We start from the raw sequence: 26,747 nt of genomic DNA, 5'->3' as shown, positions 1-26,747 counted from the left end.
CCTGGGAGGCGGAGGTTGCAGTGAGCCGTGATCACGCCATTGCACTCCAGCCTGGTGACATAGTGAGACTCTGCCTCAAAAAAAAAAAAAAAAAAAAAAATCCTGGATAACTCTAGGCAGAGGGAATATGAAGAAAAGGCTGATAATGAATTGCTAGTAGACATGACTCAATATGATTTATGATCTTGAAATCTGTAGTGAACCAACAGTTGAATTTGTGTTGTGTATCTGAAAGGTCTTTACCGAGGGGCACTGAACAAATCTACCATATGCCAAAAAATTATGTCTGGACCAAATTTTTGAGGCCAAGTCTCTGGGAAAATGAGCAGGAAGGAAGCTTTGGATTGACTACAACAAACTTCTTTGTCCTTCAAGAGCCGAGAACATGAAAAGTAAGATCAAAGAGTAAACATGGGAAAATACAGACTTTCTCCCAATTTCTTGGCACATTCCCTTTGTTATCTCACAAGGCACAAGCTAATACAGCCAACAGTATCAAGCCAAAAGCCAATGACTGCCTTTACAATGCATGGAGCAACAGGATGGTAAAAATGAATGAGTGAATAGTATCAATGAGCTCCTAAAAGAAACAACAGCCAGTTTACTAAATTTCAATGTTCCCTTCAAAACAGTCATTTACTGTGTTAGCCCATTCTAATGATGCTATGAAGAAATACCCAAGACTTGGCAATTTATAAAGAAAAAAAAAGAGGTTTAATTGACTCATAGTTACACATGGCTGGGGAGGCCTCAGAAAACTTACAATCATGACGGAAGGCACCTCTTCACAGGGCAGCAGGAGAGAGAATGAGTGCCAGAAGGTAAATGCCAGGTGCTTATAAAACCATCAGATCTCATGAGACTCACTCATTATCACAAGAACAGCATGGGGAAAACCATCTCCATAATTCAATTACCTCAACCTGGTCCTGCCCTTGACACATGGGGATGATTATAAGTCAAGATAAGATTTGGGTGGGGATACAGAGTCAAACCATATCACTCCACCTCTGTCCCCTTCCAAATCTCATGTCCTCACATTTCAAAACACAATCATGTCCTTCAAACAGACCCCAAAGTCTTAACTCATTCAAGCGTTTACCCAAAAGTCCAAGTCCAAAACCTCAACTGAGACAAGGCAAGTCCTTTCTACCTATGAGCCTGTAAAATCAAAAGCAAGTTAGTTACTTCCTAGATACAATGGGGATACAGACATTGGGTAAATACAGCCACTCCTAATGGGAGAAATTGGCCAAAACAAAGGGGCTACAGGCCCCATGAAAGTCCGAAAATCAACAGGGCAGTCATTAAATCTTAAAGTTCCAAAAAGATCTCCTTTGACTCCATGTCTCACAGCCAGGTCACACTGATGCAAGAAGGGGGCTCCTGTGGTTTTGGGCAGCTCCACCCACGTGGCCTTGCAGGGTATATGCCCCACCCACCCGCCCACAGCTGCAGTCATGGGCTGGCATTGAGTACCTGTGGCTTTTCAAGGCGCATGATGCAAGCTGTTGGTAGATCTACCATTCTGCAGTTTGGATGATGGTGGCCCTCTTCTCACAGCTCCACTAGGCAGTGCCCCAGTAGGGACTCTGTTTGGGGGGCTCGGACCTCACATTTCTCTTCTACCCTGCCCTAGGAGAGGTTTTCCATGAGGGTTCCACCCATGTGACAAACTTCTGCCTGGACATCCAGGCATTTCCATACATCCTCTGAAATCTAGACAAAGTTTCCCAAACCTCAACTGTCTTATGCACACCCAAAGGACCAACATCACATGGAAGCTGCCAAGGTTGGGGAATTGCACCCTCTGAAGCAATGGCCTGAGTTGTATGTTGGCCCTTTTTAGCCATAGCTGGAGCAGCTGGGACGTAGGGCACCAAGTCCCTAGGCTGCACACAGCAGGGGGGCCCTGGGTAAGGCCAAGAAAATGATTTTTTCCTCCTAGACCTCTGAACCTGTGCTGGGAGGGGCTACTTTGAAGGTCTCTGACATGCCCTGGAGACATTTTCCCCATTGTCTTGGTGATTAACATTCTCCTCCTCATTACCTATGCAAATTTCTGCATCAGGCTTGAATTACTCTCCAAAAAATGGATTTTTCTTTTGACCCCATCACCAGGCTGTAAACTTTTTAAACTTTTATGCTCTACTTCCTTTTGAATGCTTTGCCACTAGAATTTCTTCTACCAGGCCAGGAGTGGTGGTTCATGCCTGTAATCCTAGTACTTTGGGAGGCTGAGGCAGATGGATCACCTGAAGTCAGGAGTTCAAGACCAGCCTGGCCAACATTGGTGAAACCCTGTCTCTACTAAAAATACAAAAATTAGCCGGGTGTGGTGGTGCACATCTGTATTCCCAACTACTTGGGAACTGAGGCAGGAGAATTACTTGAACCTGGGAGATAGAAGTTGCCATTAGCCAAGATTGCACCACTGCACTCCAGCCTGGGCCAAAGAGCAAGACTCCATCTCAAAAAATAAAATAAAATAAAATAAACAGAAATAAAACAGATTTTTTTTCCACCAAATACCATAAATCATCTCTCTCAAGTTCAAAGTTCCACACATCTCTAGGGCAGGGGCAGAATGCCACCAGTCTCTTTGTTAAAGCATAGCAAGAGTAACCTTTATTCCAGTTCCCAACAAGTTCCTCATCTCCATTTGAGACCACCTCAGCCTGGACTTCATTGTCCATATCAATATCAGCATTTTGGTCAAAATCATTCAACAAATCTCTAGGAAGTTTCAAACTTTCCCACATCTTCCTGTCTTCTGAGCCCTCCAAGTCTCCAGAAAGTTCCAAACTTTCCCACATTTTCCTGTTTTCTTCTAAGCCCTCCAAACTGTTCCAACTTCTCACTGTTACTTAATTCCAAAGTTGCCTCCACATTTTCAGCTATCCATATAATAGCACCCACTCCTGGGACCAATTTACTGTATGAGTCTGTCATCATGCTGCTGTGAAGGAATACTCAAGACTGGATAATTTATAAAGAAAAGAGGCTTCATTGACTCAAAGTTCCACATGGCTGGGGAGGCCTCAGAAAACTTACGATCATGGAGGAAGACATCTCTTCACAGGGTAGCAAAAGAGAGAATGAGTGCCAACAGGGGAAATGCCAGATGCTTATGAAATCATCAAATTTCATGAGACTAACTCATTGTCATGAGAACAGCATGGGGGAAACCATGATTCAATTACCTACACCTGGTCTTGCCCTTGACACGTGGGGATTATTACAATTCAAGGTGAAATTTGGGTAGGGACATAGAGCCAAACCATATCACTGGCTATGCTTTGCTTTTCTTTTTCTTGGCCCCAAAAGAATATGCCAAAAATATTTTAATGTTGATTCAGATCTTTCAGGAGTGGGTATGGGGGATCATTAGCTTACAAAGTACCCTGGGAGATTCCTAGACGAGAAGTTATCAGAAATATGGCCAGAACTTCTCAGTTGACCTCAAGAAAGAACAGGAAGCTTCTAAAACATAACCGGCTTACCTCAAGTTATATTTTTCAAAGCAGGTGTAGGATCATACCTGCTTGTCAAGCATCATAAAAAGTGCGAAGAATTCAAAATCTGAGTCAGTGTCTGCTGAATTCCCAAATAAAATATTCTGTTCTCCAAACAGTGGAGTCCTGCTAAGTTTATCCTTAGAGGGACCTAATAGGAAGGTAATTATTGGCAGCTTATTCCTCAAACCCTAACCTCAGCATACTCTCGTGAGGTCCATTTTCTAGGATTGTTCATCCGTTTGCCTAAAAGCAATTAAATGTGACTCAAATTAAACAATTTTAAGACCAAAAGAAAATATTCTAAAACAGATCTAACCCCACTTCCTCTCATGCCAGGAACTAAGTGATGCAGAAATATGAAAAAGAAGTCATGTTTTGAGGAAAACTCCCACATTATCTGAGGCAAGGGTGCAGATTACAAAGACACACAGGTTAGCACCAGCAGGTGGAGCTGGTTAGAAAGTAGTAGGAAAGAGTATACATTCTCAAAAGATCTAGAATAGTAATAAATTCTGAGGGGTTAAGGGAAAATGGAGGAGTGAGAAGAACATTCAAAGATATTTATTTAGGGTGATTTTTCTTTTAATCCTGTGAAAGAAGTACTCTTATCTTAAGGGACTTTGGGTTAAACCTTCAGTAATCTGTGAGGACTTGGGGACTTAGAATAAAACGTGAGCACAGTATTTGATCAAGGAGAGGCAAGAGCTGACAAAAAAAAATCAGACTATTAAAAATAGACAAGGAAGAGCGGAGTAGATAAGTAGTAAAGTATGTTATGAAGATGCCTGATATTGCCTTCCTTCACCCTTTTTCTTTCTTTGGATGTGTTTGTGGGGGAGACCCTTTGGGATGTGAGTAAAATACTATATAGCGCTAAACTGAGAGGAGGTGGAGAGTAAGGCCAGAGGCATACAGCTGTAAAAAATTAAGTGCCCCAGAATAAATGTTTATGCTATTCATTTTGTAATTACAATAGTAACAAATATACTTTGAAAAACTTAGAAGTTGCAGTAAAATAAAATATAAACAAGAAAATAAAATTTCCTTTTTTAATTATTACCCAGAAATAATCACTCTTTCCACCAGTATTTTCAATGTGTTTCTGTTTATTCTACATTCCATACCTTGATACTCTTAAGTGCTGTTTTGTTACTTGACTTTGTATGAAGAAAATTTGACTTCGTGAAGGTATTTTCACATCTTTAGATAATGTCCCAGAATGTAATTTTTAATGTTGCATATTATTTTGTCAACTAATATGACTAATTTAACAAAACACTGTCCTATTGTGATATTGAATTTTAGTTTGTCCTTATGAGTACCTGTATCTTTAAACTATGTATTAGGGCAAATTTATGAGAAGAAAATCGTGCAAACATTTGATGTTCATTACCAAATCATACTCCCTAATGGTAATATGTTTCCATTTCAGTGTCCACATCAGCATTTAACATTACTATTTTTTAAAATATCAGTTACTCTGATAGGTAAAAAAGTTTAAAAGACCCCAAATTTATTCAATTTCCTTTTCATTTCCACCAAAATTATTTCAATTAATGTGTGAATGAATTCTGCTGGGAAGGTTAATTTTGATATTTATCAAAGTATTCTTTAAAATGTGTTATCAAAAGTCAGTATCTTATTTTGAAAAAAAGTCTCCATTAACTTTGTTAATCTATCTACAGCCAGTAAGCATTATTCAAAAGATTTTCTTTTTTCATAGAGAAGAAATACTTTCGTTTCGAAAACTTTGTAATAATCACTGAAGCCATGCTTAACTATTACCATACTAAACAGAGAGAATAACAGATTCCAAAACTCCTGAGAATCCACAAACTATAGTTTATTTTCAATTACCTCCACATTTCATCAAACCCTCCAGGCTTACTATAAATACCTACATAGAGGATTGACTGTGTCAACCCAAAGCTAAATACCAGCCAGTCTGACCTTTTTACTAAACTGACTAAAATGATTGGATCAACAGTTATTTCTTTTTGCTAAACATACTCCCTAATTTTAATTAAATTCTCCATCATTATGGCTAACTTTGATTCCTGACAATATCCTGTCAGGAATGCCAAATAGAATCCTGTCTAGAATTTTGACAGGGAGTGTATATACATGACTGTATCTAGAAAAATCTCTCTCTATCACTCTCTCTTCCTCCCTTTCACCACAAATATTATTTCTTCATATTCTGAAAACTCTATATCCCCTTAGGGAACTGTGTCTTTCTCATGTAATAACTAGACATTACTCATAGGTTTAACCTGCTTTTTCCTGTTTCTGTACAATAAATATTATCTAATGAAAACAACATAAAGACTTGTTTTTTGGATTGGTGGGAGGGAAAAAAAGAGAAAGTCTGTCAGTTCATCTTGTATGAGGAAATGGCAGCTTTTTCTCAGATGAACTGCAAAATAATAACAATGCATTCATGGAGGGTTTTCCCATTTGCCAAGTACATTCACATACAGCTTAATGCCTCATTCTTAAAAATGGACCCTGGGGAAGGTGTGCATGGGAAAATCATGAGAGATGGGTATTACTGTACTCAATTCCATGTCATTCCAAGGAAACTGTGATTCCATCCCATTCCTCCTTTACTTTAACAATTTGCAATCCCCAGCAGCGGCTGGGCAGTAGCTCCCCACTGGCTTACCTGCCCCTTCCCACATAACCCCCCGAAGCACTTCTGTATATTTACCGTCCCTCAGAGGTCCAATTCTCTCTATTTTATTGAAAAGGAACTGGGGTTCTATGAATGTGAGAATTCCCCAACATTGCATTTCTAAAAACAGGAGAGTATTAGAATTAAGTTGTACCTTCTGAGCCCAGTGCTTTTCCTACTATGTCATATGTCCATAAAATCCAACTATCAGATTTCCATTAGCATTGCTTGAGTATTTCAGAACTACATTTATTTTTAAATGTAGATCCTCTATGAGAACTGTTAAGGTATAAGAATTATGCTTAGACCATAATGCAATAAATAATATTGATAATCAATGGCACTTGCCAGGCTATAACACAAGGTCAGTACTAACAAATTCTCACTGACTTATAACTTCTACATGTTAAACTATGGTATAACTATTTCAAAATATCTCATTTCTATAGTGATAGAAACTTGGTATTGCAGTATTTTAAAATAAATAAATATTTCACATGATTAGTGTAAAATATGTGCATTCTACATTCATATTCCCTTTGTTTATACTAATGCATAGCACGTGGAAGAATTATCCACTAGCAAAATGATTATTTAATTAGAATATATGGTCTCAAATATTCTATGTAATTGAAAGTTTCTATAAAATGCTTTTATCATAAAATGTACCAAGAGACAGTGTTTTTCTTTTTGTTTATTTTTTTTTTTTTTTTGAGACGGAATCTCGCTCTGTCGCCCAGCCTGTGTGCAGTGGCACAATCTCCGCTCACTGCAAGCTCTGCCTCCCAGGTTCATGCCATTCTCCTGCCTCAGCCTCCCAAGTAGCTGGGACTACAGGTGCCCGCCACCACACCCGGCTAATTTTTTGTATTTCTTAGTAGAGACAGGGTTTCACCATGTTAGCCAGGATGGTCTCGATCTCTTGACCTCGTGATCCTCCTGCCTTGGCCTCCCAAAGTGCTGGGATTACAGGTGTGAGCCACCATGCCCGGCCCTGAGACAGGGTTTTTCTATATAAATTGTCTAACTGAAATCTCTAGAACAATGACAAAGAAAGAATGAAAGGAAAAACTATTATCTGGCACAATCTTCAAGCATTTGGACAAAAAAAAAATCATGAAATAAAGATTAAAGTAATAATTTGCATACATTCCTAACTGTGTTAAATGTGCACATCGTTACAATGCATCTGAAAATCATTGTCTGACTTATAATGGATAATAAAGAAGTACACACCCTGAGTACTCCAAAATCTTTTGAAGAATACAAAAAATGCCATATCTTACAAATACACATTCTCAATACTATCTATTGCCTGCTTTTAGTAGAATGAGGCTCTGAATGGTAACTATAAATCACTATAGTGATAATTATTAATATCACTTTAATTAATATTAAAGTGATATTATTTAATATTGTGATATGCAAAGCAAGAAATACAAACCCTTCTTGTCATCTTGCTCCTCCTTTCTTCATGCACCCACCTGAACTATTCTCCTTTCTATATTCACTACCTTAGTTAGTGGTTTTGCAAATTATAAGTGAGAGTTGCAGTGTTTTGCTCAGTCAAAATTTATTTTCCATTCTCTTAGAAACAGGACTCCAACTTTTCCCTAGACAGTTCCTTCTCTCCTTCATGGGGTTCTCTCAGAGAATGATGTCCCTGGCCACAGTGGTGAGTTCAGATCTAAGCGGGTGGCCTAATTAAACTTTTGAAGGAAGGAGTACAAAGGTCTCTCCTTCCTGCTAGACTTGTTGCTGTGAAGATGCTGGGCTGGAGTCACTGTCTGCCTTGATACCATCACATAGAGCCTGAGAATAATTCCAGCATAAAGGAAAAGAAAGCCAAGAGGTGAGGAGAGCTCAGAAAATGGTGGCATGTTTTGGATGCCTAGATCCCAGCCACATTCTACCCCTGGAATTTTTAGTTATGAGCCAATACACTCTTTTTTATTATTTTTATTCCTCCTAACACACTATATTTTTCTTCTGAGTTGTATTTTCTGTCATTCTCACATCATCAACCAAGAGAGTCTTAATATAACTTCTCAAAGGCCTCTGCTAGAAATAGCAACTCTGCCTTGATTTCCCCTTTTATCTTGTGTCTTTTCCCCACCAGTGTTCACTGGATGATCAATTTCTGTCTGTTCTCTTTCCAAGATTCCTCTCAGATCAGCCTCCTTCCTCCCATTATTCCTATCACCAGCAGTTGTTGGTGTTTTTTAAATCCAGGCTTTCCTCATCTCCTACCTGAACTATGGTGATTACTTTCCAATCGGGTTTCTATTGTCTAATTCATCCTTCACTATGCTAATAGTGGCATCTACATAACCTGCAAAACAGAGAAACTCACTTCTCTTCTCAAAATTTAGCTGTGGCTCTCCACTGCAAAAATAATTAATAATAATAATAATAATAATAAAACAAAACACAATAATGAGCAACAATAAAACAGAATATTTAGCTTGGTATTTAAAGCTTTATCTTTCCCCTTCTTTTCCTGTCTTGCAGGATTTTCCTCATCCACGGACTCTGCTCAGGCCTCATGCCCCTGCTCACTATTCCTTGGCCATCGTATTAAGTTCCATATCTCTGTGAGGTTGCAGAACCAGTTACGTCTGCCAGGAAAGAGTTTTGTGTCTTTCTCCACCTGCCTAACCTCTACTTCAAGATACGACTCAAATTTTTCTATGAGAGTTCTATTTTTACTGTGCCAGCTAAAATTATTATTCACCTCCTTTATATATAACACCACTATAAAAACAAGTACCATATTATAATTTGTGTTACCTTTCCACTCAATAGATATTAAATTCCTTGAGAGCACAGACTAGACCTTACACATCATTTTCACCTTTCATTAAAAAGAACTATGCTTTGTGAATATATTAGCATAATCACTACCACCTGAAAGCTTGTATAGATGAATACATCTGTATCTAAAGAAACAGCAAAGACCAAAAATAAAATGGCCCGTGAAAGTATGGATACATTTTCCTGGGATTAGATAAGGCAGTTGAGAAAATTGCCTTGTTTTAATAATTCAGGTTAAAAATGAATGTGTCTAGACTGCTTCCACACCACTCCAATTAAAGTGGAGATGTGCTCATTGTCCCAATATTAGATGTAGACAACTTGAGAAGAGAGTTCAAGAGCCAAAGTGAGACCAGAATAATAGACCATCTCATCACCAGATAGGGCTCCCCTAACTGTGCATATGATAATGATATTGTAAAAGAGGAATCGATCGCATTGTATTTTCTCTTTGCACGAGTTTTACCTCAACTTATCCTTTTCATCACTGACATCTACCGCTTTACCTCATTATTTCTCAGTAACCCTCTAAGAAGCTCCTACTTTGCCTGGATATGGAAAACTTCTGCTGTGCCTTAAGTACATCTCTGTGAGCCTGCCTCCTCACCCTGCACCTAGAGAGATGAAAGATTATGAAACAGTGAGGGTTCCTCTCTCCAGAAGAAGAAATCAGAACAATCTCATATCAGAAAATGGACCAGAATCAGCAGAAAAACAGCCTGATGGTTAACCATGCTTTGTGGTCTGTGACTCAACTGAACTATCTGAACTTAACTTTAATGATCTCAAAGGTCAACACAGCTTCTGACAACCACAGTCTGAGGTTCAGCAATTGGCCAGCACCAAGCTTCTCTACAACCAGCCAATCCAGAACTGACAAGTCAATAATGCGTTTGAGTCAACCAATCTCTTTTCCTTGTGGAGTCTTCAGGCCTTGAAAGTCATACACTTACTTTGGTGGAGGAGATGGTATTCTGGGAGACTATTTTCCTGTGGATATACCCATTTACAAGTTAGTTTGCAATTCTCTCGTAGTTGTTCTCTGATACTTAGTTGGAAGGCTCATCCCTAAGAGCCTCATTCTTGTATATTGAATAAGTTTACCATGCTCTGGTCAGTCATAACTCAGGTTAACACTCTAAGTCTTTATTCTCTTTTTATCATGTGGTTATTGTCCGAATATTTCCAAGTTGTCAAAGCTATTTCAATTAGTTGTCAAAGCTACTTCAATCTGACCAAATACACCAAGCCAACTCTCCAAATTATACAGATAACTCAGAACTTTGAGACAGATGTTCAGTTAGTTCATTTCAGAACATACACGAAAGCCCTGTCAGCAACCTGAGCTGAGCAGAGCGTGCGTAGACACTTGGGGAGCAGGATGAAGCATTTCATAGTCAAGTGGCTGAAATTATTGGCAGCACTTACAATTCAAACATGGCTGAAATTTTAAACAAACATCCCAGGCCCCATCTCTCTATCTACTCTATTATGAGTCCTTTTATTTATTTCAGCAAGTTAGAACAAGACAGCTGGAACAATATGCCAGCAGCATTTCCTCCAGCATTTAACCACATTGAAAGAGAAAACACCTTTAGAAACATTGGAGGTGTCACCTTAATTTTTTTTTGATTAAGCTCTTATTTTAAACTGTCAAAATGTGTCACATTATTAACAAGTCTTTATTCAAAAAATACTTTGGTGCATATTTGGGAATACAAAGAGTCACCATTTTACAGGGGATCTATTATTTTAATATACTTTCCTCTATGTCACATGATATGAAATAAATGATAAAAGTATAATATGTAGACATCTGAATTACAGGTTTAATATCTACATTTTAAAAGTGGCAAGTTTGAGAAACAAAACTACAACTCTAACAGCCTTTCATTGGCTTTATAGACCTGAATTACTAGTGTTTCTAATATATTAGTTATTAAAGAACTATGAGATCATGAAATATTAATCATTTACAGTGGGCCAATGGAAAGGTGCTAATTAATACCATCTTAGAAAATTATTATTATTACTAAAAACAATACTGAAAATGAATGAAATTAAATACATATAAAGTATAGTTCTAGTAACTGACTTATTATTCATTATGTGATGCCCATAGCAATTTTAAGCTGGTAAAAGTTTGTTTTTGTTGTCTTTTTTTATATGGCAGATTTAGGATCATAATAAAAATAATAAGTCTCCCTACTTAACATCATTTTAATTATTTATACATTGTATATACCTGTACAATAGTCTCTAGTTTTGCTTTATCAACCAATTTTAAGTGCTGCTTTTAAAAAGCTTTGAAAACATTTTTAGAGTAAATAGGCTATTCCTCTCTTTCTTATCAAGGAAAACATTCAATGTCAGATAATAGGGGAAGAAAGAAAATTACTCTTTCAAATCCTGCAAAATATAAATTACGCAACTTTTCCTTGGTTATAGATAAAAAATAATATATTTCTTCAGTGAAAAAGGAAAATATTGAGTCAGATATCTTTTTTGAAGAGTAACAGAATAAAAAATTGAAAATTTTATTCCAGTTATAGTATTTATCCATTTTTAAAACAAATGTGGTTTATAGCACATAAAAAAATAGAGACTGCCTAAATCAAAGCAAACAGAGATTGTTTATTCTATCCCCTTGCTTTAATGGTTAAGGAAACAGAGCGAATGATGCATTGGAGAATGCATAGGGCCAGAGCATAGGTTCCCTGATGGAAATTACTTTTTAATAGTAAACCTTCAATCATAATTGTTAAAGTTTAATCTACTTTGAAACCAACAGCATTCAAGAGATGCTAACACCACGAAAATTTTAAGCAGAATTCGGTTTTGAGCAATTCACAAAGTTGTAGTTAAAGGAGCATTTAAAAAAAAAAGTTGTCTGCTAATTTTGTTTCATAACAACATTTTTCCAAATTCTAAGATTCACTTTTGCTATTTTTTCTAAATATTTTTCTTTTATAATTTCTACACTTTGTTGGTATTTAATAGATAATATTTAAAACGTTTTATAACAACCTAGATGGCAGTACAGAAACAGGAAGAGAAAAATAGTGTTGGTTCAGAATGTTTCTCTGCTATTTGGGAGGCCATTTAACATAAAAGATAAATTCTCTCTCCCAAGCAAATGTCTTAGAAAAGGGTTACATCAATGAGAGTAGGAAGGCTCTAGACCAGCACTATTCAGTAGAAATATAATATGAGCCATTTGTGTAATTTTAAATGTTCTAATAGTCACATTAAGAAAAGGAGCAAGAAACAAATGAGATTAAATTCAAGAGTATATTTTATTTAAAACAACGTATCCAATATATTATTATTTCATGAAGTATTCAGCATAAAAATGTTACATATAAATTTTACATTATTTCCTCATATTAAGTCTTTGAACTCCAATGTGCATTTTATATTGACAGTAAATTTCAACTCACGCCAGCCTCCTTTCAGGTTTTCAATAGGCGACTGTGGCTAGTGGCTACTGTTGCTCTAGATTATTTTTTCTGGTCAACGATGAACTTGTCAGGACTTTACTAGCATGTTAGAGCTGGTCAAGACCCCTGTGCTACTACCACAGGTCACTGGCATCACATCGACCAACCTTCCACCATTGATCCCAGAGGGAAATGAGGAAGAACCTTTGCCTCTTTATTTGCATCAACAAGCTATTATGTAAAAATTAAGGGCAGAAACCCCAAACTAGAAAAATCGAGGTGCTTATATGAAACAGATTTAGGATGAAGTTCCTTTACCTGGCCCCAGCTGGAGAATCTGGCCTGAGAGCCTTTTCTTAGTGCTAGCTCTGAAATTCCATCTACCCCCTATGTTTATGTCTCTCCCTGTTGGACTGTTCCATCAGCTTTATATCCTCAGTCCCCAACACATAGCTGCAGCCTAGCAGGTGACTGTAAGTGTCTGTTACACTGATCTAAGCTAATAAGAACCTCTAAATATGAGGGAAGGAAGAAGAACTTGGTGTCTTGTCAAGTAAGATGAAATTCATTCTGTAGACAAATTGAACTTACACTATCTACAATTAATTGACAGGGACACTGGATGTTTAAGAAAGTCTTCCATAGTGTACCCACCTCACTATGCTAGAAGTTTTCTTCAGCCTCTTGCTATAATCTTACTCAGAAAGATTTGAAAATAAAGCTTACCTCCTAAGGAATTCAAATTTACTTTAAAGCATTCTTTTTATTATCACAACTGTGCCTTCAAAGTGATATCTCATAGGTGATGAGAAAATGTCACAAATTATTTTTAATTAATATATCAATGCTACATTATTCAATGGAGAAACTCAAGGCACGAATGCAATTTTTCAATAAGAGCTGAACCTGTAGCTTCATGTCTTCATCTGATGCACATATGGAGACAGAAGAAAATCTATTTAAGTATCAGTATGTTTGTCATTGGCATGTCTGTCTTGGAGTCATCATTGAAGCATTTTCAGAGTGCAGAGGTAACTGAAAGAAGTACTTACAAATAAAAGCCAAACAATGTTAGGTTAGGCAAGTTACTTAAGCCTCTTAAACCTCCACTTCCTTATCTGTAAACATAGGAAAAGAATAATGCCTAACTCATAATGGGCTATTGTGGAGGCTTAGATAAGGCATAGATTTGTGTTTAGCAAGAGGACAGGCACTAGGTAAAGTCTTAAGAAATGGTAGCTATTCATATAAACACATTTGATTTCTCAAAAATGAGGTAAAAGGTAGAGGAGGATAATAGTAGATAATTTATCTGTTCTTTGCTAAAGCTGGAAAAAGTGTGAATCATGCTAATGACTGTTTATTTTACCAGAATAAACACAATTTCAGACATATCATGACTCTAAAAGGAGGTGATGATTCTACTTCCTGCCAAGTCATTGGGTATAGATGACTTAGTGGCCCATATTCTTTGAAACACCCTTATTTAATGTCCAAGATATCTCTGGTTTTTTTCTGTCTGGAGACATCCGTGCTCACAGAGGGAGAGGGCAACACCCCGTGGTTAGAGATCAGAATGTAGAGTCAGACTCAAGGACAAATATTCCAGTCTTGCCACATACTCTTGAATCACCTTCAAAACATCATTTGGATCTAGAGACTGCAAAACCTTTCCATCTTTCAAGCACTTTAGAACCTTCAAAGTTGCTCAAAGGCTTGGAAACCCAATGAGATATTATTGGAAGAACTATGTAAATGTATGCATGCTTTTATCCGATAATACTCTAATGACTACAATAATGACTTCACTGTAATAAGCAATTGGGTGGAAAGGTTAGGCAAATAATAGAAAACTTGGAGAGTAATGTGACTTTTATCTCAATGGAAAAGGAACCTAATCTAAAACTGCTCACTGAATTGGATCTGGCCTGTACCCTTTGTATCTGTTTCAACAAATGGGTAAAGTACAATCACAACCCATCGAATTTGTTCTCTTAAGTAAGTCTTAAGAGGCTCCGCCTTCTTAAGTATATCATTAGTTTTCTTAGCAAGTCCTTTTCTTACATAGAATGCAATCGTAATCTGCAAGTTAATTCAAGACAAGGTATTACATTCCTTAAATTATTGGAAAGTATACATTTTTAAATACATTGAGTGGCTGACTCAAACATGTCTATAACTACTGATGGCAAAGAACATGGTCTCTTTATCAGGAATGTCTAAGTTATTGACATTGGAGTCACACAACCTGGTGCTAAATTATCAATCTGCCTCTTAAACTCTCATGTAACTAACGTTAAGTCCTTTAAATGAACTGAGCTTCAGTTTCCATATATGTGAACTGTATGTAGCTAACTTTTCCTTCTCTATATGCCACATAGTATTGTTAGAAGAGGGAAATGAGAAATTGTTATGCAGCCTAAAGATAAATAACAATAATATTCCTTTTTTTTTTACAATTTTATTTTTCAAATTTTATCGTAGTATGACGTATAGTATTTGGGTAGATGAACAAAAGATTCATATAAAATGTTAATTTCTACATATTTCAAAAATGGAGTTTAATGAGGCCATTCAAAAATAATATTTCCTTTTTTGGCCAGGCACTGTGGCTCATGCCTGTAATTCTAACACATTTGGAGGCTGAGGCAGGAGGATCTCTTGAGCTCAGGAGTTCAAGACCAGCCTTGGCAACATAGCCAGACCTTGACTCTACATTTTTTTTTAAATTAGCCGGGCATGGTGGTGTGAATCTATAGTTCTAGCTACTCAGGTGTTTGAGGTGGGAGAATCACTTAAGCCCAGGAAGTCGAGGCTGCAGTAAGCAGTGGTCATCCCATTGCACTCCAGCCTGGGCAACAGAGTGAGATCCTGTCTCAAAAAAAAAAAAAGAATACCTTTTTTCATGTTTTATAATTTTTTTCCAAATCACTTTTATGCATGGTCTCAATTTTCTCCTCATGACCCAGTGAAAGTAGGTAGTACAAGCACTGTTTTCATTCTCAGATGTTCCAACTGAGGTAAAGAAAGCAACTTAATCAACTTAACATAGATTTCCATGAAACAATGACAACAACGAAATCAGCCTTGCAAGAAATTTCCACTCTAACACTCATTTTCTGCCACCATAATTTTTCCAGGGTCAGATGCTTAAGGCAATGTTCTAAGTTCATAATTAAGTTTAGTTGCATGCACAATTTGGGTAGTTAAGTAATTACATGATTTGCACATGCAAATACTGCAATCATTGGCACATAAAAATAACGTCCTTTAAACATCTGGGCCTGATGGAGGACAAATGGTCAGGAAAATCAGAATTTCTGTGGTTCCCCAAAGGGATCACTATAAACAGGAAACACTACAATCTGTTCTCAGACATTTAGAAAATCCACTCACTTTAACCTAGAGAAAAGAAGCAACATGGAGGCATTCTAACTTCGACTTCTCCTCTCCAAAACTATCCAGGTACCGAATAAGCTATTTGTAACCATGAAATGTCTGAACACTAATCAGAACATTTGAGTGTAAAATACAGTCCTACCACTGAAGAGGTTGAAAAGTTTTGAACAAATCACTTAATCCCTGAGTCTCCTAATATTAATCTCTAAAATAGGAATAATAACAATATCAACACTATAGGATTGAAAAGAGAAATAAATGAGATAAATTTCGTGAAAGTTTTCTGTAAATGCTGAAATCCTGTACAAATAAGATAAATTTTTATTAGGTTGGATATGTATATGAGGCTATCAAACATCCAAAGATCCCAATAGACACAAAATGGTTTTGTTTGATTATTATTATTATTATTATTTGGTTGAAAAACTAGCTATCTCTAAGAGAGCTAAGTACTTTTAGTACATTTCCTCTCTCACCCTGAAAAGAAGTATAACATGAAAGGGAAATGAACTTTCTTTTATATCCAGAGGTGATGTGGCCTCTGTTAGTCCTGTATCTAGTTTGTGAACCAATAATTGAAGGTGGATGACAAAGAAATTGGCAAGAATTTCCAAGGAGGGCAAAAATTCACGTCTGTAATGTTAGAAACTAGGCCCGCTGATAAAAACAGGGGGCAAAACATTTTTTATTATTACAATAAATTCATGAGTTTTGTGACCTTGCTACAGTTTTTAAGGGGTACGAAAAATGTTTCACATCTGAGGCTGAAAATACAGCCCTGACTGAAAATGTAGCCAGATAAATGTATGTGAGACATTGTGCAGAATGGTCTAAAACTAAAATTCCAAGGCATCAGAAAATGTTTTCATTAGAGAGCTTGTGTCATTTCCTTGTGGGAGATTGACAGACATATTTGTAAATTTTGATATGATGAACCTGTAAGAAGGTTAAAAAAGGAATTGTGGGTCATGTTAAAAGATTTCCCAAGAGATGTAATTCTAGAGTTGTCCTACTCCATTCTTTCTCACACAGGAAAAAAAAAAAAAACACATTGATAAAAATGTGTGTCCTCTCCTTCCCAAAGCCCTCTTTCTAACTCAGATAACAGTATGGTTCCACGGAAAAGCAATGGCTTTGGAGACACGGAGATGTTGTTATACTCTAATCTCATCATTGGCTGGGTGCATGGATCTGGCAAGATAATAATACTTAAACTCAGGCATTTTCATTTGAAAATATCTAAAACATTCTCAAATTCTAAGTAAACTGCAAGGGAGATTAGGCACAGCTTCATCAGGATTCCAACATCACCAGGACCCAGTTTCTAGCTCTCAGATACATCCGTATGGCTACATATGGTAGGTGGCAAGATGACAGGAGTAGTTCCAGCCTGTGATTCCCAACTAAAGGCCAAGAGAAAGGGCAATCGTGTCTGTGGCAGAACTTTCCATACACACGTATTTGATTCTGATTGGCTCAAAGGTATTCACAGTGGCCAGGCATCTGGGGACTCTGCGTCTGTCAGAACACACGTGCTGAATTTTGGACGAGGCAGGAATTCTGTGTACACTTTTTTTCCAGAATTTCAGGAAATAGACTGATGGCAGAAAAAACAGATACCCTCTACAGAGGTTTAGGGATAACCTATGTAGGGACATGGTGGTGAATACGAGGGCTTCATTGATAACTTTTTCAATGTCTACAGTTCCAACATTTTAGATACAAAGTGAAGATATCACTTTCTTATTTTATTTCTTATTCACAGATAAAATCTTCATCCGTCAAATTTTGCTCCCCATAGGTGGCCTTCAGACACTTCTTCCACAAGGAAATTGGGCAGCTTCCTGAAATGAACAACCCGTAAAGCCATGGGAATTATGGATCAGCTCCCAGACCTTCCGCTTCATGACTGCAAGCCTTTGTGAAAGTTTCTGACCTCTTTATGCTTCAGGAATCTTAGCAATGAAACAAGGATAATGGCACTTGCTGTGACGATCATGGTAAGGAGTGGAGATAAAGATTAAAAGATCCTACAACAGCGTCTACTACAGAGCAGATGCTCAATAAATGATTCTGATTATGTAGCTAGGTCAAGGTCTTGAGATCTATTTCTTGGGGCTTCCTGTCCCACTATCACCATCATATCCCATCCAAATGTCAACATTCAAAATGACCTTCATCTTTCACAATTTTGAAGAAGTTGGTGGTCTAAAAAGATCTAGAGGCACAGCATAACAGTTTGTAGATCCTTTGAAGGGGCACTGCTGTGCGAAGAAGGGTTTCCATCATAGGACAAATGTCTGTTACTCTCAGTACTAAAAATTTTTCTAAAGTACTGAAACTCACTTAAGAAATTCAGAGAAATAACCAAATTAGAGTGCTTTATGAAAGGAAGGCTCTGTCGGGAAGTTGGCTCACTAAAAACTAGCTGTTTCTTATTTATCAGCAAATGACCAGCTGCAACAGGTCAGCCTAAAAACCCTTGCTATTTGACCTCATCAGCAAGCACCCCGCAATAGGTCACCATTGCTTAATTAGACAAGGGAGTGTTCAAATGTAATCTCTTTGCACTCAGCAGGCCGTGGGTCAAATAGAATCTGACTAACCTGCAGCTTGTGTTTACACAGCTTCCAACAGTTCAAAAAGCCAAGGGAAGATCAGAAGCTTATCTTCCAGCCAACTGGGGTGGGTTGGTGGGGGTTGGTGGAATTTGACAGAAGCTTGTAATCAGCCACATTGGAGGATGAGGGGAAGGCCTGTCATCTGTTTTGAAACGTGTTACGACAAGATGTTACATTTCTGGAAACCTGGGTGCAGAAAAAGGTGGGCAGATTCCATTCTAGTGGTTTAATTAAGAAGGAAAGTAAAGATCTAACGTTAAGTCCAGCCCTGTTGTCTGGACCTCCTCTCTCGGGAAGCAGGGGTAGTGGCAGGGGAGGCTGGGGGAGAGGACAAGGGCACTGGGATGTGCCGGCCAGCGCGTGGCAGCTGTTCATGGTGAATCCTATTCTAGCTCATGGCCATGTGTTCCAGCCCTTTTGGAAAATTACCTCCAAATAACAGATCACGAAAGAGCAACTCCAACAAGCCCTATAATTTAGTCCCCAGAGGAAATTCTTCATTCATCAAGTGTACAGGAGGCTAAATTAGTTCTATACCCAAGTGGGCCCTGGTTGGCAATTTTATGTGAGGGTAAACCCTACCTTGGGGAGGAGTCCAGCCAGAAGGGCTGGTGGCCAAGTGCTGCCTGGTGTCCAGCTGTGTCAGACCACATATTGCACCACAGATTGGGGAGAGTTCCTGGGGAATATCTCTGGGACTCAGTCCCTGTCACTTTTTTTTTTTTTTTCCAGATGCACTTTTCTGAGAGTTTGTGCGGATTGAGTGAATCTGCTTCATTTCAGCCCGAAGTTGCTGGAGGGTCCTTCGTCAGGAGACAGTATATATAGACTTGCCAGAAGTGCAATAATTATTCAGTCTCTTTCTCAGTATTAAGCCAATGTACAAAATAATTACACATCTGCTTCTATAGTATGCACAGATGTTGCTGTTGTTGTCATTGATTTGTTCATTTGTTTTTGTTCATCTTCCATGAATCTATTCACAGCCGGGAAGCCAACTCCACTGTTGGTGGACATTAAAACCTAAACAAAACAAAAATTCCTTAGAAGACAGTTAAAGGACGGGTACGTTTAAGAGTATGTCTCTTTTTCCCTCAGTCAAATCTTTATTTTTGTAAACTTTGTTTTATCTTAATTGAGAGGTAGTTGAATTCCTCAGGTGTACCAAACATTTCAAGGTCTATAAATAAGCCAGTTTTCTTCATGCGTAATCAACATGTTGCCTAGAACAAGATACTTTTTTAACATTCCCTACATTTTAAGAAAAGTGATGTTGCTAAACTTGGGTTACATTCTGAAGCTAAAAATCTTGTTCCTCTTCTTAGAAAACTTATTCACTGTCTCCATCTAGGAATCTGGATAAAACTACATGCTTCTCCTCTTTGCTATCTTTTTAGTAATCTGAAAAAAAAAACCAGCCTCATTTGTATTTATGAGACTTCTTTTTACTTAAGATTTTATGAGCAGCCACTCTCTGTAAATCAGAAGTTTGCTTTGTGAATTCACTGAAATGCCACAGGCAGGGCATGTTTGGAAAGAAGATTTGTTAATTTGTGGAGAAAACGATCCTGTAGAAATAGAATAAAGATACTTTCATGAATAGTAGAACAAGAATTCAAAATTAAAATTAAAATACTACATTATATATTTTATATATGTATATATAAAACTAAGTTCAAATAAGACTATGCAAATAGAGTTGATTGAATTGCACAGTTTTGTCAACTTGTTTATTTTCTGTTTTCTATTTCCACGTGCCCAAAGAGACTGACACAAGCATTACATCTCTAAATTTGTATTCATTGAATGTACAAAAGAAGACAGCCATTAAAAGTACAGAAGTCCCTCTTCTGCAAAAAACAAAACAAAACAAAATTCTAAGGAAATTCTTTCAAAATGATGAAATGCATTTACTGTTAATTGGGTAGACTAATAGAAGTGGTTATATATATAATATATATTTATTTATTTTAGATATATATATATACTTTGAATATACTTTCACTTAAAGTGTTTATGTCAAATGAAGCATTTCTTTGATCAAAGACAAACCTGCCTGCTTAATTTCCAATTTTTTCCCCCTTAGAATTGAGTGGGCAAGAAAAGCATTCAGAACTTACTAGAAAACATGCATGGTCAGAGTAGAAGAGGGAATAAACATGAATTCATTGCTTATTCACCTGGGTGCTATGAGTTTAGTATACATTTGACTGTTTGCCTTTTTTTTTTTTTTTTTTTGAGACAGAGTCTCGCTCTGTCGCCAGGCTGGAGTGCAGTGGCGCTATCTCAGCTCACTGCAACCTCTGCCTTCCAGGTTCAAGCAATTCTCCTGCCTCAGCCTCCCAAGCAGCTGGGACTACAGGCATGCGCCATCATGCCCAGCTAATTTTTTGTGTTTTTAGTAGAGGTGGGGTTTCATCATGTTGGCCAGGATGGTCTTGATCTCTTGACCTCGTGATCCACCCGCCTCTGCCTCCCAAAGTGCTGGGATTACAGGCATAAGCCACCACGCCCAGCCAAAAATTTGCCATTTAATAGCAAGCAGAGGCAGGGGTGCTGGTTAAGTTTGTGGGACAAGCCAAGAAGGTTGGAGGCTTGCCCAGCTCACAATCATTTAAACTCAGACTAAAAGACTAGAACATAACTTGTTAGTGATCTTGACTCATATTTGTAGAGACTGTAAGTCCCAGGCAGATAGGGCCAGGGTTACTATAGAAACACAGATACTGAGCATGTCTAATGGAGAGTGAAAGTTCGGATTAAACCAAAGTCTTCATCCTCCTCTAACCTGTGCATCACCCTTCCTCAAGTTAGACATTTGGCACTGCACAAATTCGTTGCACATTTTTAATTTTTTGGCATGAGGTCTCCTCTAAGAAAAAGCTCACCAGGTTGTGATGAAGAGATGGAAGATGTTGAAGCATGATGTCTTCAAACTACTCAGAGAAACTTGTGGATGTGAAAGCAAGTCAAAACTATATCAATACAATTGCTACTTCTGTTTTTATTAATTCACAGATAATTACGTGGGGCGTGTTATAGACCCAGGCACTCTTGTATTTGCTGGCACTGTGCTAGAGAATAAGACAGAACACTCGGGGTGTTCCTTCAAGTGGGTTGGAGTTTGCAAGGGTTGTGAGGAATAGACAGTAAACAAAAAAATGACAAACCAACAGGATAAAATCATTTAATAGTATGCACTATTAGGAACAGAGTGTTGGGCCAGAAAGTGACTTGATGACTGCTATGGATGGGTGGTCATAGAAGGCCTCTCTTGGGAGGCAACGTTTAAGCTGAGACCTAAATGATAAGAAGCTGTGAGCCATGGGAACGGCTGGGGAAAGACGACTGGTGAAGAAAATAGTAAGTGCAAAGGCTTAAAGGCAGGAATGTGCTGGGTATATTCTGGGAATAAAAAGCATGCCAGTGTGGGTTCATGCCTAGTAAGAAAGGAGAAATGGCACCACGTGAAGTGAGGGAGAGAGGCAAGGGCAGGATTTTGCACAGCCTTGTCAGCTTAAGTAAAGGCTTTGATTCAAGTTCAATGGTGAAGAACTGGAAGGTTTTTATTTGGGAAATACATGATGTGATTTAGAATATTACAAAATCACTCAGGTTTCTTTTCCAGAATGTGCTGAAGGAGCATGTGGTGAAATAGAAGAGGAGGCTCTTACAGTGATATAGGCAAGTAAAGGTGGCAACTTGTACAGGAAACTTGGCGGTGGAAATAAGTCAATGTATGCAGGATATATTTTATTTCACTAACAAAGTTGACTATTGATTACATAAAATGTCATACATGAGCAGATGAGTGGAAGGGGCATTCAAAGTTTTATGGTTTAAGGAGGACTGCTTTGGTTCTTTTCTACCTAATCTATTCTGCCAATTTTACCAACTGACAGTAGAAAAGTTACCAAATTGCACTCATGGAGCTTTTCTCTTGGTGTTTACCGGTTTGTATTTCTACAGGATTTCACATCACATAACATATTTCAAATAAGAATGGTATATTCTTCTTAGGATAAAAACAGACATGATTTGTGTGGCTGTTTTAAATTTTCAAATAAAAGATTGGCAGTTGTCACAAGACACAAGGAAATTCATCTCCCCATACATTCCTTTAAATGACATTATGTTGAGCAGGAAGGAAACCACAATGCCACTCCCTCTGTCCATAACTTGTGAAAAATGGAAAATGGTCTTCACATAGAGTTGATGAGCATTGAGCAGAGGGGGCATGACATAGGAACCAGTTATGTGACATAAATTTATAAATGTATCCAAGAGAACCAGTTATGGATCCATGGTCTTGAGAGATCTTGAGCCTCACAGACTTTGTGGATGAGAAGGTGCTCTGCCACCCTGTAAAACTACGTGTTTCCAAATGCTTTATTGGTTGCCTGGCCATGTGGCAAACTCTCTAGAACAACGTTGTCTAGTAGAAACATAAGGTGAACTACATATGTAAATCTGCATTTTCTAGTAGTCATTAAAATTTTTTTAAAAAGTAAAAATAATTTCAATAATATATTGAACCCAGTCTGTACACAATACAATTATTTCAACATGGAATCAATATGCAAATTTATAATGAAATATTTTACATTATGTTTTCATGCTAAATCTTGGAAATGTGGTATGTACTTACAGCACATGGAAGTTAGACTAATAGTATTTCAAGTGCTCAATATTCACATGTGGCTAATGGCTACTGCATTAGACATCACAAATGTATAGTGCAAGTGTGTGTGTGTGTGTGTGTGTATGCACACTAAGATAGCATGTCCTCGAATAACATCATGTTGTTCAATGTCATTTTGTTATAACATTGATGAGTGAAAAAAATGATTTCCAGGTGGGGCCACTATCTCTGTGGCATTTGCACACTCTCCCTGTGTCTTCGTGGATTTGCTCCAGCTCCTCTGGTTTCTTCCCACAGCTCAAAGATGTGCAAATTAGGTGAATTGGTGTGTCTAAATGGTCCCAGTCTATGTGAGTATGGGTGTGTGAGTGAATGCTGCAATGGAATGGCATCCTGCTCGGGGCTGCTTTCTACCTTAGGCTCTGGCCACCCATGACCCTGAACTACAAAATATAGGTAAATAATTATTTTACTTGTTTTTATTAATCTTTCTTACATGTATATACAGCTAACATGTATTTCAATGTTTAATATTAGAAGTGTTTTGGGACATCATTTAGATGTTTGGTAATGTTTTTGTGACCAGAAATATGCCATAGGAAGTTAACTCTTGTTTATATCAATTAGCCTGTGGTAAAATTGTTTTCATTATAATTTCTTTTACTACAAGTGGAAGTTTGCAAACACCTGTCAAGGATGTTAAGTGAAGACTTACTGTGTATGTGTGTCTGTTGTGTTAGCAATAATTTGCTCTCAAATGTTCAAAAAGAAAATAATGGGGCCGGGCAAGGTGGCTCACACCTATAATCCCAGCACTTTGGGAGGCCAAGGCGGACGGATCATGAGGTCAAGAGATCAACACCATCCTGGCCAACATGGTGAAACCCCATCTCTACTAAATATACAAAAATTAGGTGGGCATAGTGGCATGTGCCTGTAATCCCAACTACTCGGGAGGCTGAGGCAGAAGAATCGCTTGAACCCGGAGGCGGAGGTTGCAGTGAGCTGAGATCGCGCCACTGCACTCCAGCCTGGGTGACATAGCAACACTCCATTTCAAAAAAAAAAAAAAAAAAAAGAAAAGAAAAAAGAAAAAAAAGAAAATAATGGATGTCAAATTACAGACATGGCCCACTGGTGGTTCATAAATAGAAAGCTAATAACTGCCCAAAATACCTGTAGCATAAATCTGGCAGCCTTGACCTTTGAGAAACTAGAACCACATTTTAAAGACCTGTGACTTTGTTTGAGCTGTTTCTTGCACATTAACTCTTTGCTTTATTACACTTAGAAACAAAAGGAGGAACACAGAAGGGAAAAAAAAATTAAAAGCTGTGGTTTTTAATTCAATTTTTTGGTTTGTTTTATTTTGTTTTTATAGTTAGTCAAAAGGCTGTAAAGTGACAATTACATTATTTCCAAAGTATGTTTCAGAGCACTTGACTGTCCATGCATGACCTTGCCCTTCTACGTTTACATGATGACAATGATAAACAGTTCTCAAGAAGAGAATCTGTATGCGAGATTGCGGCTGGGTGCCAAGGGAAGCATTTTGGTATTGTTGAGATTCAGATAAGTAAACCTTGGTCAGGAAGTATACACCAGATGTGACACACACCTGAACAGCACAGGGCTTCTAGCACCAGCCTCTGAATCTACCTGAATAGCACAGGCATTCCAGCACCAGGCTCTGAATTCACATCAATAGTCATTGTTATACTGCTTGTCCTGGGATGGAAATGGGAACTGTATTAGTCCATTTTCACGCTGCTATGAAGACATACCAGAGATTGGGTAATTTATAAAGAAAAGAGGTTTAATTGACTCACAGTTGCACATGGCTGGGGAGGCCTCAGGAAGCTTACAATCATGGCAGAAGGCAAAACAGGCACATCACACGTGGCGGCAGGCAAGAGAAGTGCCAAGCAAAGGGGGAAAAGTCCCTTATAAAACCATTGGATCTCATGAGAACTCACTACCACGAGAACAGCATGGTGGTAACCGAGTCCTTGATTCAATTACCTCACACTGGGTCCCTCCCACAACACATTGGGATTATGGGAACTACAACTCAAGATGAGATTTGGTGGGGACATAGCCAAACCATATCAGGAAGCAACGTCTTTGAAGGCTGAGAGGCTTTGTAAACCTCTCACGCAAAGTGACATAAATTGATTATGCCAATTTAATTATTATCCCAAAGTTTTGACAATTATGACTTATTGAAACTGCAGTAATTCTTGCCAACTATGGATAGATTTAAGTGATAAGAAAACACATAGAATCTTCTGACCTAGCTAACCCTGAAAAGACAGAAAATTCAGTGCTAAGCACTGCATTTTAAATATCTGATAGGTCTAAATGATTTTAGGAGTGATGTTTCTTGAAAAATACCAATTTAATACAAGTACTGTATATTTAATTTTATTTTTCAACTAGGATTATGCTGGCTTTGGACGGCTGTATAACTCACACATTAATCTACATCCAATTTCAAATTTCTACATATAACTGCAAAACTTCAGTTTTTGGCCTCTTCTTATCCAAAGCACATATTTCAAATGTAGTTTACAATTTTATTCCTTCAAAACCTATTAGCAGTAAGATACCTTAAGTCATCATTTTACTACAAACTTTGTGGAATGATGTTCACCAGAGCTACATAGGGTAAAGAAGTTGAGCCAACCTGCTCTTTACCCTCTACTTGAAATGACAGTAGCCATAATAATCACAGATATTACTATTGATGCATTTTCTACTATGTCCAAAAGGGTATCTACTATGTCCAAAAGGGTATCAAGCGTCTCTCTAAAAATTTATTTTTCTGATCTCCTATCTCTTCATGCAAAGTCAAGTGGCTAATAACATGTTGAGAAGGTTGGCAGATATACAGATGCTTACATTAAGGAAATAGTGCAAAATTGATATAAAAGTTTTGGACCTTACAGAGTTATTTTGTATAAGTGTGCAGGCCCAGGATTAGTCTTAGCTTTGAATCTTAGTATTGCTATTAATTAGGTTATATGAACTTGGAAAGACCACTTAAAGGACAGTTTTCTCATCTATAAACTGCATATAATTATAGAAAACATTAAATTACAAATTTTATATAGGAAAGGAGCTTCCAGAGTGTCTGGCACTTTGCAGCAATTCCCCAAAACTCTTGGGTCCTTTATTAATTCCCTCACATATCTCCACTAATGTAAATAAAATGGATATCCAGTTCTTCTGAAATTAAACAAAAGAAGTAGAAATTATGGTTTATGTGAATACTATATAAAAAATCAAAATGTATGTTCACTATATAGTTTGCTTCCAATTTCCTATCAAAGAACCAAGCCATATGAGTTGCCTTTAGTCTTTTAAGCAGGGACACTACATAATCTGTTATAATATTTATATTTGGACCTGAGAATACAATCCCAAATGTCTTCTTAGTAGAATTTTGAGCAATCTACTGGTGGCATGTGAGGAAATTCTGACATTCAGTTTCTCATGTGGGCAAGGTTTCTTGAGAATTTCTAAGAAAACATTGTAAAGTATTGTCCAGAAACAAAGATTTAAATTCTATTTACTTTCTTCAAGTCATACTTTCCTCACAAATGCTAATAAATATATTTTGCCCCAATAGACAATACG

General features: G+C 37.6%; 1 long non-coding RNA gene across 1 annotated transcript in view; it reads left to right on the top strand.

Moving 5' to 3' along the window:
* Positions 1 to 19,379, top strand: part of LINC01428 (long intergenic non-protein coding RNA 1428) — a 107,736-nt gene extending 88,357 nt beyond the window's left edge. The window contains exons 6-8 of the long non-coding RNA NR_110609.1: positions 17,647 to 17,845; positions 18,473 to 18,668; positions 19,199 to 19,379. This is a non-coding gene — a long non-coding RNA (long intergenic non-protein coding RNA 1428). The remainder of the gene's footprint in view (positions 1 to 17,646; positions 17,846 to 18,472; positions 18,669 to 19,198) is intronic.
* The last annotated feature ends 7,368 nt before the right edge of the window (positions 19,380 to 26,747 follow it).

This window comes from Homo sapiens, chromosome 20 (genome assembly GCF_000001405.40).
Source record: "Homo sapiens chromosome 20, GRCh38.p14 Primary Assembly".
Lineage (NCBI taxonomy): Eukaryota > Metazoa > Chordata > Mammalia > Primates > Hominidae > Homo > Homo sapiens.
This window is presented reverse-complemented; position numbering and strand designations above follow the sequence as displayed.